The sequence below is a fragment of the Homo sapiens genome, chromosome 9 (assembly GCF_000001405.40).
Source record: "Homo sapiens chromosome 9, GRCh38.p14 Primary Assembly".
In the NCBI taxonomy this organism is placed as follows: Eukaryota; Metazoa; Chordata; class Mammalia; order Primates; family Hominidae; genus Homo; species Homo sapiens.
This window is the reverse complement of record NC_000009.12, coordinates 116,652,100-116,664,126: the sequence shown is the minus strand read 5'-3', so window position 1 is coordinate 116,664,126 and position 12,027 is coordinate 116,652,100. Positions and strand designations below refer to the sequence as shown.

Here is a 12,027-nt window from a genome sequence, read left to right as displayed (position 1 = left end):
TGGATGCTTCATAGTTTTTCAACCAATTACCTATTGATTGTCCATAGACTGCTATGGTAAGAGATTTATTGCTGATTACTGTGATGTAATGGGCAGAAGCAACAGAAATTGAATATTCAATTTCCAGAATTTATAACTGCCTGAACTTGAATCTCTAGCAATGTAGCAGAGTGGGAGGCAGCCTAATATTGTGGAAGAGTGCTTAGAAATAAGGAAGGTCACAATGGCAATCCAGATGTTCTTGGATCCCTGATTTTCCCTCCATGAGCTTCCATTTACTCATCTTTAAAAAGCAATAGTGAAACCTACCTCTCATTGTTAGGATTTATAGAGACCAAAGGGCATAATGTATGCAAATCAAGTAGCAGAACATCTGTCCTGGAATATGTGCCTGTAAAACTGCAGCTACAGTTAATATTAATTTTACTGATTGCCTCAATATAAGACAGGAAATCTCTATGAGTTTCAGCCCTTTTATATTTTGTTGAGTGGGCTCATTGATCCTTCTCCCTGCCCCTAGCAGCAGAGTTACACCGCAGAGGGGAGCTAACGGAGAAGTAACTCAATCTTGAACATGTTTTCCAAAAGTAATGCCTGGTAACATGTTTAAAGGTTGTCTTTTAACATGAGTATTTTTAACATTTTGTTAAAAATAGTTAGAAATGTGAAAGCAAGACTGTGAACCCCCAGGAAAACAGTAAGAGAGTGTTTTCTAATGGTTCCCTTAACTGACTAATGGTTCCTAGATGACTCCAGCTGATGTTCATACCCTCCTGGATGTTTGAAACTGGCAACCTCCCCCTGGCCCCAAAGTGGCCTCCTACTGGCCCCAAGGTGGGCTGGTATACCTTGTTGGTCTGCTCTCCTGCTTCAAATATGTTCAAGTGGGACAATCTGGGAGTCTTTATCTAAAGCAGGTCATTAGCATCTCAGAGGCCTCCAATTCCGTAAGCCTTGTCCAAGAATAATCTTTTCTGAGCATTTCCTCTTTGACCCCTAGCCTGAGAAGTGATTGGAAGGAGGAGGAAGGAATTGGGAAGGAACTAATCTTGGAATCCGTTCTTGAGGAGTAAGTTTTAAACACAGTTTTCAAGAAAGTAAAAGAACTTGATCCCAAGAAAGAGAAGGCGTTCTCCTATTAATGATCCATCTCAGCTCCTTTGGACAGAAAAGGGGCTTTGGAGTCAGTCTTTGAATGCCTAATGACCTTCGACTGCAGTCTGTCACTTCTCGGAAACTCTGTTTTTTCAGCTGTATATTACAGTTGTAAAAAATTACGACATTACTTGTCCAAGGCACTGTTGTGAGGATTCCATGAGATCCACAATGTCTTGTGTTTGGCAAAGAATAGAAGATTGGGAAATATGATTTTCTTTTCTGTCTTCTCCCTTTACCAAGCACTTTTCCTATCACCATCTTAAAAGCAAAACTGCATTAAAAATAAGACTATGTTGTTAGAATAATACTAATAATAGTAATAATAACAAGAACTGGCATGTTTTGGGTGGCTATTAAGTGTCTGGCATGACCCTACATTATTTTTTTATTTTTTTGAGATGGAGTCTCACTTTCGTTGCCCAGGCTGGAGTGCAATGGTGCAATCTCTGCTTACTGCAAACTCTGCCTCCCAGGTTGAAGTGATTCTCCTGCCTCAGCCTCCCGAGTATCTGGGATTACAGGTGCCCACCACCACACCCAGCTAACTTTTGTATTTTTAGTGGAGACAGGGTTTCACCATATTGGCCAGGCTGGTCTTGAACTCCTGACCTCAGGTGATCCGCCCACCTTAGCCTCCCAAAGTGTTGGAATTACAGGCATGAGCCACTGCACCCAGCCCGTTATCTTAAATCTCAACAACTTTATATTGTCGGTGATATTCGCCTATTTTATACATAAAAAGCAGAGACTACTATGAGGAAGAAGCTTGTCTATGGTCACATGCAGGGCTGTGGCTAGCCTGTAAGTTACCTCTTATATGAATTAGGAAGAGGAGCTCCTCTACTTGTACTCAATTGCAGGAGCACAGGCATGGCACGTGAAGCTGAGGGTGGATTTAGTCCCCATCCACCCTTTTGCCTTGTCACCTTTTATATATATATATTTTTTTCTTTTTTTTTTTAATTTAAGTTCTAGGGTACATGTACACAATGTGCAGGTTTGTTACATATGTATACATGTGCCATGTTGGTGTGCTGCACCCATTAACTCATCATTTACATTAGGTATATTTCCTAATTTTATCCCTCTCCCCTCCCCGCACCCCACAACAGGCCCCGGTGTGTGATGTTCCCCTTCCTGTGTCCAAGTGTTCTCATTGTTCAATTCCCACCTATGAGTGAGTCACCTTTTTACAGAGCTCAACTTGTGTAACTATACAAAGAGGGCCTGGTTGCATGCCTAGTTTTGACCAACTGAATTTCACATCCAGATGTATATGAAGTTCAGACCGCATCCATTCCATTACCACCTTGGAATTTTTTCTCTTACTGTCTTCTTTAAGATCCTGCTCCATCAATTATCTTTTCTCTCTGCCATATCTTAAGCGTCTCCTTCTCCATCTCTGTTTTTTCCTTCCCAGCCAATACGTCCCATCAGGTCTCTACACTTGAGTACCACAAGGATTGAAACAAATTGTTATTCATATTTTCCCCCCTTGTGCCTAGCTGTAAACCTGGCACTGAATAGGCCTTCTCAGCAAATGCTCTTTCAGAATTCTTTTACTCATCGCACTAAGCTTCCTTGTATCATAGCTAGCTTTTACTGTTTCCCTGGCTTCCCTCAGTGGAAGTTGCTTTGCACACAATGATCCTTCTTTGCCAAGAAAGGATCAGAACAGAGATTTCCCCAGAGCAATCATCTTAAGTAGGCACTAGAGGGCAGCAGGAGATCACATATGACCTTTTTTTTTCAGCCTCCTGTTACTGGCCACAACCTGCCTTGTCCCAGGAGGAAGAAGTAAATGTTACCCTTCAATGCCGACTGATTCCTGATTCTGGCCAAGACACTGGCCAGTACTAGGCTACTGGGCAGTGTCCAGGGGTCCCTTTCCCACAGAGAGTATGACCTGCCTCAGAAATTTAACTGCTTTCACTTGAAGACAGGTGTCCTCTTGCAAGTTATACTTTATCACTCTGTGCCTCAGTTCTCTCATTTGTAAAAGGGGGCAACAATCCCTACTTTGTAGGATGGTGGAGAACTGTGAGAGATCATAGGTGAAAATGTGCTAGCACAACATCTTTTGTTTTATTCCTAGAGGAGTTGGATGAGGAGTTAGTATCCCCATTTTACAAATGAACAAACTAAGGTTGGAGAGGTGAAGTGACTTGATTAAGATTTGAAATCAGGTAGTCTGACTCAACAGTTTTGGACTTACGCATTCAATTCTACCCTGGTCTACTGTCTTCTTGTAGGTAGAAGACAGGTAATTTAAGGGGAAATTTTTGACAGTTAAAGCATCAGGCAGGTTTCAAGGGAAGATTTACAGATTCAGACATGTACAAGAATTGAATAATGCTAGGATGAATGCCAGGGGCTGGAACAAATGACCTCTGATGATGCTCTTGACACGCTAGCATTGGATATTTTTCATTAAGTTCTGATTCTCATTTATCCTCCAAATAATCCAATATTTAGGTACTAAAATTATTAGCATTTTACAGATGAGGAAATGGAGGCTTAGAGAGGTTAAGGTCTTGTTCCAAGGTCACCCAGCTAGAAAACAAAAAAGATGGAATTTAAACTCAAGCAAAACACTGTGCTATAGCTGCCCCTCTGTAATTGTGCTTATTACTTATACATTTAGGGGAAGAGCTTGCAAATTCACTTAGGTTAGGAAATCAGTTGTCCTAGGGTTTGGCAGTTTTATAATTCTGTCTTCTTATTTTTGGAATCTCCACTGTTGCTTTTCTTTCCATTCCCCAAATGTGTGTGTGTGTGTGTGTGTGTGTGTGTGTGTGTGCGCTTGCAATATGAACACAACACATACATCACAACATACACATACTCATACATATATACCTTCTCAGAAGCCACCCAACAATGCCCTATGGTTCCTGGGATAGGAATTTCATCTACCTAGTTAGTTAATTGTTTAATTGTAGTATGACCCCACACCCCAACTAGAGTCCAGGCGTGAGTACTGTAGATAAGACATCTAATAGCATAAAGTACATAACTCTGGGCTTGGGTCTGATGCTTAGGATGAGAAGTGTGGTTCCTGGATGAGAAGTTAGTCTAAGTTTAATAGAGCCTTTCCACAATGGAACTTGAGGCCTAGAAAGGTACTGATTTCCACATCTTTAGAAATGTCCAAGAATAAATTGGAGGATTATTTGGTGGTAAATGAAAAATTAGATGGGATTTCTGACCAGGTGACCTTTAGAATGCTTTCCACCCAGGAGACCCTATTAGCCCATGGAAATGGGTGGAGGAGATTGGGGGCATTACCTGGGGGTGGGAGGTAATGGGAAGATACAAATATTTGGAACGGATATGACTCATCCTGTAGGAGTGAAAACTGGTGCTGAAAGTTTTTCAGAGAGGAAATATGGACAGTGGAAAGAGCAGAAAAACTGGGTAGAAACAGCTAGACTAGTTGCTAGCTGTGTGACTTTGGTCACGTTACTTTACTTCTCTGATCTATCAAGTGTACATTAATAAAATAAAACAAAGACCAACTGTCTTTGGGGCTGTGGTGATAAATTGGGATAGTTGGTCTGAAGTCTGATAAGCATTACACTAGTGGGACAGGAGTCAGATTTATGCATTCATTTATTCATTTGTTCATATATTTACCTGCAGACTGTCTACATGATATCAAACAGTGAACTCTGTGCTTGGAATGCAAATGTTCATTAAAAATGGCCATGGTCCTTGTTCTCATGAAACTTATGGTATATTTGGAGAGAAATATATTCATTTAATTATTATATTAAATCAAATAATAAAAACGTGACATGTACTATAATGAGGATATAAACGATTCAGTTCATACTGCAAATTGAGAATAGTCAAAATATAGTCTGTGAAAACAAGTATGCTCAAAAGTATATACATATGTGTTGATTCTGCCACTCTTTGTGATATGTTTACTGGGATAATTTTCCTCTACCTCTAGATGAAAATCTTAGCAGACCACATCTAATCTATTATCACTTATGGAATAGGCAGCAGCACCATCGATATTTTACATTGCTAACATACTTTCAAATCAGGAATTAGGATTTCCAGTCCAATATTTTAATCAAATCTTTTGACAAATAAAATCTCCGTATCTTTCCCAATAGGAGCATTAAGAGGTGGGAATGGTTGGCCTTCATGCTCTTTCTTTACTTTGCACCTCTTCTTCCCCTTCTTTCACAGTACAAGCAAAAAAAAAAAAAAAAAAAAAAAAAGAGCGGTGGTCAGGATTAGGAAGGTCATACTTGCTCCAGAATTATTTTACCTGGCTTTGCGGTCTCTGGTCCTGGCATCTTTATAAAGCTGGCCATTTGTCTTGGGGGGCTTGTTCAGGGGCTTTTCAGCGGTCCCCAATGCTTGGGACTTCTCGTAAGACCTGGAACAGTGCCATTTCTCTTTGTCTGGCTTCAGTGATCCCTTCCTACCTACTGTTTCTCTGGCTTCCTACCTCATGGAGATTCACTGTGGGGGACCCATCACTCTGTTAGATTCCTCTTGGGTAGGGCTTAAAACAGTTCCAGGCCAGTTCTTTCTTCTATGTGACCCATATACAGTTCAGAGGAAGCAAGCATTTTTCACTGGGCAACCTCTGGGGGTTTGGGCTAATCCCCATGCAGCTCCTTCTGTTCTGTTGGTATAGGCCACTGCAGCTTTTTCAGGTGAAGATAGGACCTAGTCCATTTTCTTGCCAGTTGCTGAGAATATATCCAAGTTCTCCAAGTGGCACTCCTGAGGGTTCCTCTCACAAAACTTAGAGTTAGCAGATAGCATGTAACACTTGAGCTGGCTAGGGTGCTGAAGACTCCAAACATGGTAATAGTTCTTTGCAAAAACAAAACAAAACAAAAACAAAACAAAAAACAAACTTCCTTAAATCTCTTCTTGCAAATACAAAAATTAGCCAGGCATGGTGGCATGTACCTGTAGTCCCAACTACTCAGGAGGCTGAGGGAGAATTGCTTGAATCCAGGAGGTGGAGGTTGCAGTGAGCCGAGATTGTGCCACTGCACTCCAATCTGGGTGATACAGCAAGACTCCATCTCAAAAAAAAAAAAAAAAATCTTGCTACTTTCTGACCTCTCTTTTTTCTTTTATATTCCTTTTTTTTGAGACAGGTTCTCACTGTGTCACCCAGGCTGGAATGCAGTGGCAGAAACTCGGTTCACTGCAACCTCCACCTCCCAGGTTCGAGTGATTCTCGTGCCTCAGCCTCCCAAATAACTGAGATTACAGGCGTGTGCCAACAGGCCCAGCTAATTTTTGTGTTTTTCATCGGCATGGGGTTTTGCCATGTTGGCCAGGCTGGTTTCAAACTCCTGAGCTCAAGTGGTTCACCCGCCTTGGCCTCCCAAAGTATTGGGATTACAGGCGTGAGCCACCGTGTCTGGCCTAACCTCTTTTTATGTCTTTGTTCTGGCTGAGGTTTCTAGAGTTGTGAAATTGGTTAGATTTCCTCTCCTTTGTAACTTCTGCATCTAGGGGCATGACTTGGGAATTTTACTTCTATTAGGCCTTGGTGTCTGAACAGAAATTTCAATTTTAATGTCATGTAACAACAACAGCAATGTAATTATGACAACTACAGCAACAACAACAATAACAAATAATATTTATTGAGTGCTTAACTTGTTCCAGGCCCCTTACTTAATCCTCACAATAACTCTTTTAGGTTGGTACTATTATTTATAAAGGGCACACTAATGATGCAGGACTTTGATTGTTAGGCTGAGAAGTTCATATTGCACAACACAGAAGTGCAGGCCTTGCTAGTGGCATTTCAGCTGGCTATTTTCCCCTTCTTAAAGATATTTGTGTGGGTCCTTGAGTCAGGCCTCAGAGCAATTGCTTTCTTCCAACAGGAGACAGTAACTCCGCCTAAGAAATGATCCAATTTCAGTAATTCCTGGGAGGCCATTGCTGTAATAAAGGCCGTTCTTTATGATATAAAAGTCTCACCCCTTTCCCCTCTCCCTTAATGTTTCTAATTTGAGCCCCTCTGGTCCCTATGGAGCTTTTAAATGCTTCAAGTGCAAACCTATTGCCAAAGCAAGCCTGTCTGACTAGGGAGGCAGCACCCTGCACCGTTGCCGAATATTGAACAAACATCCGTGCAGCTTTGGCTCTCCCAGAAGCCCTTAGTCTGATGCTTTGTTTTGTTTTCTGGATGAGGGCAAGCGGTGCCATCATCTCCTGCCGAAAAGCCCTGGCTGCCCTCCCAACAAGGAGTTGTCACTTCAACTGAGGCTTTTTTTTTTTTTTTTTTTTTGGTGGCAACAAAATAATACCCAGCAGGAATTTGGGAGGAGAAAAAAGAGAGTTCAGTTGGCAGGTTCTCAAATGAATGGGTTGTAGTGTCATTGGAACTGAATTGGGCTTGAAACCAGACATGATCCTATTTTGGAAGCATTGTTCAGAGGGATGGGAAATGTGAACAGAGGATAAGTCTCTTCAAAAATGTTCTTTTTCCTTGGCCTGTTAAAGACACTGTATTTTAACCTAACTCTCCCATTCACTTAATGGCAAGGGCCTACATGAAAACCTAGAGAGGGTCAGAGCAACTGGAAAAGTGCTCAGCTATTCATCTGTTGACCTTTTGATTAGAGCACTAATTTTACTTTGGGAAGAAGTTGTATGTTGACTACAATCATTTATTAGTTATCGTCCTTGTAATTTACCAATTCTGGCTCTTAGGTTCATCGATGCTTGGATAAGGCAGCACAGGTTATGTATGTTTACTATATATTTAACAAATATTAAAAATATTTTTGAAAGCCTGCTGTGTTCCAGGTACTGTGTAAGATGGATATGGGATCAGCAAAACTGATGCTGTCTTTTCCTTCATGTAGTTTACAATCTCGAGACATTAATAGATGATACAGAGAATAGGATGCTATCAGGATCTGTAATAGGAAAACTTAATAGGTCAGGTGCGGTGGCTCATGTCTATAATGCCAGCACTTTGGGAGGCTGAGGTGGGCAGATTGCTTGAGCTCAGGAGTTCAAGACTAGCCTGGGCAACATGGTGAAACGCTGTCTCTACCAAAAAATACAAAACAACAACAACAACAACAACAAAAAACACAAGAAAACATTAGCCAGGTGTGGTGGCATGTGTCTGTGGTCCCAGCTACTTGGAAGGCTGAGGTGGGGGGATTGCTTAAGCCCAGGAGGCAGAGATTTCAGTGAGCTGAGATTGTGCCACTGACTTCAACCCAAGTGACAGAGTGAGACGCTGTATATATATAAAAAAAATCTTGGTGTACGTTAGTGGCATGAGGAATTCAGGGAAGGCTTTTCTGAGGAATGGGCACTTGAACTAAGACCTGAGGGATGAGTGGAAGTTAGCCTGGAAAAGGCAGGGCTGGAGATGGGGTGGAAGAAAGAATTCTGTGCAGAGAGAAGAGCCTGTGCCACGATTGAGAGAGGCAGAGGGTATATGCAAGGGATTTAGCCATTGTAGCTGAACTAAGAGGAACAGAATAAGAGATCCAACTAGAGAGGCAGCATGTTGTCTAGATCCCACATTTTCTACATGCTCTCTTAATGGTTTTGGTCTTTAACCTAAGAGGAGTGAAGTGAAATGGAAGTGTTTTAAGCAGGAGAAGAATAAAAGGTTTGCCTTTCGAATAGATGACTTTAGCCACAGGGTAAGGTTGAATCAGAAGCAATTAGCTTTTGCAATTGTAATGTCTACAGAGGAATAATTAATGGAATGGCTAATGGTGTTTCATCTTAACTCTCATCTAGATCATAACTTAGGCATGACACAGTCTCTAAGAAATGGATCACTGTTAATACAAGTGTGTGAGACTTAGAAATAAGTCCCTTTCCTTATTTTGGTAATAGGTTTCAATGGGGTTGCACCAGATTATAGCCCTCCTTTGGCAAAACTAACCCTTAAATTCAGCTGTAAATTCTATACTGCTACTGTGGTGCAATTTTCAGCCAAGATTGTGGGCTTTTAACTGCACCAAAAGGGGTGATAGATTTAAAAAGCTGAAGATTTATTGAACAGAAGCAGACTAGCAAAGATCTATAGATTATTGTGTTGTTAAATGGATAGTTATATATTTAACCCAATGACTATGAATGTTTGTTTGATCAAGGGAATTTTTACTCTTAGCACCAAGTTATATTTCTTCTCAGTGAAATTATGTGCATATAGCAAGGTGCTATGGGGATCATGCCATCTGTGCTTTAAAATATGAGATAACATAAGATAGTCGTTTAAATGATAAATTGGTGATTAGAAGACTGGGATTGTGTGCTGAAAGGACTCACTGTGTGACCTTGGAAAGTCATTTTCCTTCTTTGGGACACACTTTTCTCTTCTTTAAAATGTGAAGATTTGTACTAGATCAGCATACCAGTGTGTTCTTTCAATAGTTTTTGAAATCCATTTTATGAAGAAAAGATGCCCTACTCTATTTTTTCTCCCCGGAGATTCACAATCTAAGTATATTGATGGTGCATTTGATTCCACAATTTTTACATTACTTAATCCATCATACTTCCATATTCCTATGTGGTTGGATCATTTCTCTGAAACTCAGTTTCCCCACCTGTAAACTAGGTCAAGAGCAGGGGTTGCCAAACTTTTTCTGTAAAGGGTAAGTTAGTTAATATTTTTAGGCTTTGTGATTATAGAGTCTTTGTTGTAACTACTCAATTCTGTCCTTGCAGCTATTCACAATAAATAAATGAATGGGGGTGGCTGTGTTCCAATAAAACTTTATTTACACAAGCTGGAAGGGGACTGGATTTGGCCCATGGGCCATAGTTTGTTGACCTAGGCCAGAGCGTGGGCTAATGAGTCCCTAGTGTCCTCATTGCTCTGACTCTCTCTTGACCTTCTCCCCGAACGGCTATTCTCTCCCAAGTTTGAAGTCATCTTTCCTCAAAACTATCCGTCTGGTCTACAAAAAGTCGTCATCATCTTCTTTTGAAAGGTCTGGATATAAGACTGTCTCTAGCTGCTGGGATGCCTTCTTTACACCCTTGTTTTGTTTGTCTTAGTAACTACCCTTCTTTAATCCCTGTGAAGGATTGGTTAACTGGAATTTTCCTTGTCTTCCTCCCCCAGAGCCTTTGATCTGATGCTCATAAGCATTTGCTGACAGCCAGACAGAAAAGGTGGAGGCCAGATTCCAGGCCTGAGGGCCCAGAGAGTAATGAATGAAGGCTGTGTTTATTTGTATTTCTAATTGGCAAGTCCATTTCCAGATCAGCTGCATGTCACTACAAGCCTAGAACCAAGAGCAAGAGACAACTCTCCTTTTTCTCCCCGACATCAGGGCGCAGGGCCCCTATTTCCACTGAGGCAGGAGCTTGCCTTGACATTACTAGGCTTCGTTGAAGCTGCCAGATGGATTAAGCTCTGTCTCTTAGTATAAAATTACCATGTTTTACCACTCAGATTATGCACTGCACATCTGTGAGGATACCATTCTCATAGTCTGTGATGTAAAAGGAACCCTGTCGGTTGTACAAATCACTTTGCTTCTTCAAGGTTTTTGATATAGCCATAGAACTCTTTATTTTCACGAAATCTTGTATAGAAGGCCAGCCTATAAAAGAAATAAAAGTGAAACTGCTCTGTTTGAAACAGAGATGAGAGTTTAGAGCCCTGCCTGCTCAGTTTCCCTCTTTTTCTATGCAATCAATTGCTGTGGTGCTTCCTAGGATCCCTAGGATTCCTCAGAAGAGTTTTGAAGTCTCTAGACTAGATCATGAATATAGTTCTAGCCATTCAGAATTCTATAATCTCTCTGGCTGAGTATCAAATACATCCGTCGCACCATGTTTGGCACTGAAAGTGGGTAGGAATGGGAGCCATGGCCCCTGATCTCCAAGAGTTGATAATATTGTTTTAGAGGTCAGCAGAAAATGGGAAGGGAAAATGAACTTAAATAAGATCTCATAAATAGAAACACTTATTCAGAAAAGAAGGGCTGGGGCAATGAAGAATGACTCCCTAAAGACAGTAACATTGGAATGGAGCATTGATAGAAGAGATGTGGAGAGGCAGAGGGGAAAAGCAGCACAGAGTGAGCAAAGGCACAGAGGTGGAAAATACTGGTTTATAGATCAAGAGAGATGGCACATAATGAAGCATGCATAAGTCAGATCTCAGTGTGCACATGAAGAAAGAGGCAGGAAAAGTGTGAACAAGGAAACAGGTAAGCACACACAAAAAAAGGAGAAATGATGTCTTTTCCAGACAGTCCTACCTCCTCCTTTCTCATTTGCTATTCATAACTGATTTCATTGGTATTATTAACCCCATTTCTCAGAATTTATCATTGGAGTCACTTGGATACTGACATTTTCCTAAGGTTGCAGAGGTATTTTCAAGCAGAACTGAGATTTCAGATGAAGTTGGCTTGACCCAAAGCTTGTGTTTTTCTTGTAATATTGGGCTGCATGGAAAATATAGGACTAGATATAAATTTTAAAGGAAGGATATCCTTTTTGTAGGTTGACAGAAGACTGAAAGGAATTTTTGGTTGGGTAAAAAATATCTTTGAATATTTATATCTTGCAAAATTATTGAATAATAATCTAGCCCAACCTACCAACTTTATTTAATTAATTAATTTATTTATTTTTCATTTATTTATTCTGAGATGGAATCTCGCTCTCTTGCCCAGGTTGGTGTGCAGTGGCACAATCTCAGCTCACTGCAACCTCTGCTTCCTGGGTTCAAGTGATTCTCCTGCCTCAGCCTCCCGAGTAGCTGGGATTATAGGTACATAACCCCACGCTTGGCTAATTTTTTTGTATTTTTAGTAGATATGGGTTTTTGCAATGTTGGCCAGGCTGGTCTCAAACTCTTGACCTCAGGTGGTC

At 40.9% G+C, this 12,027-nt stretch overlaps 1 protein-coding gene across 8 annotated transcripts in view; it reads left to right on the top strand.

The window, feature by feature from the left end:
• ASTN2 (astrotactin 2) overlaps positions 1–12,027 on the top strand; it is a 991,946-nt gene that overhangs the window by 750,931 nt on the left and 228,988 nt on the right. The gene's annotated exons all lie outside the window — the stretch shown is intronic.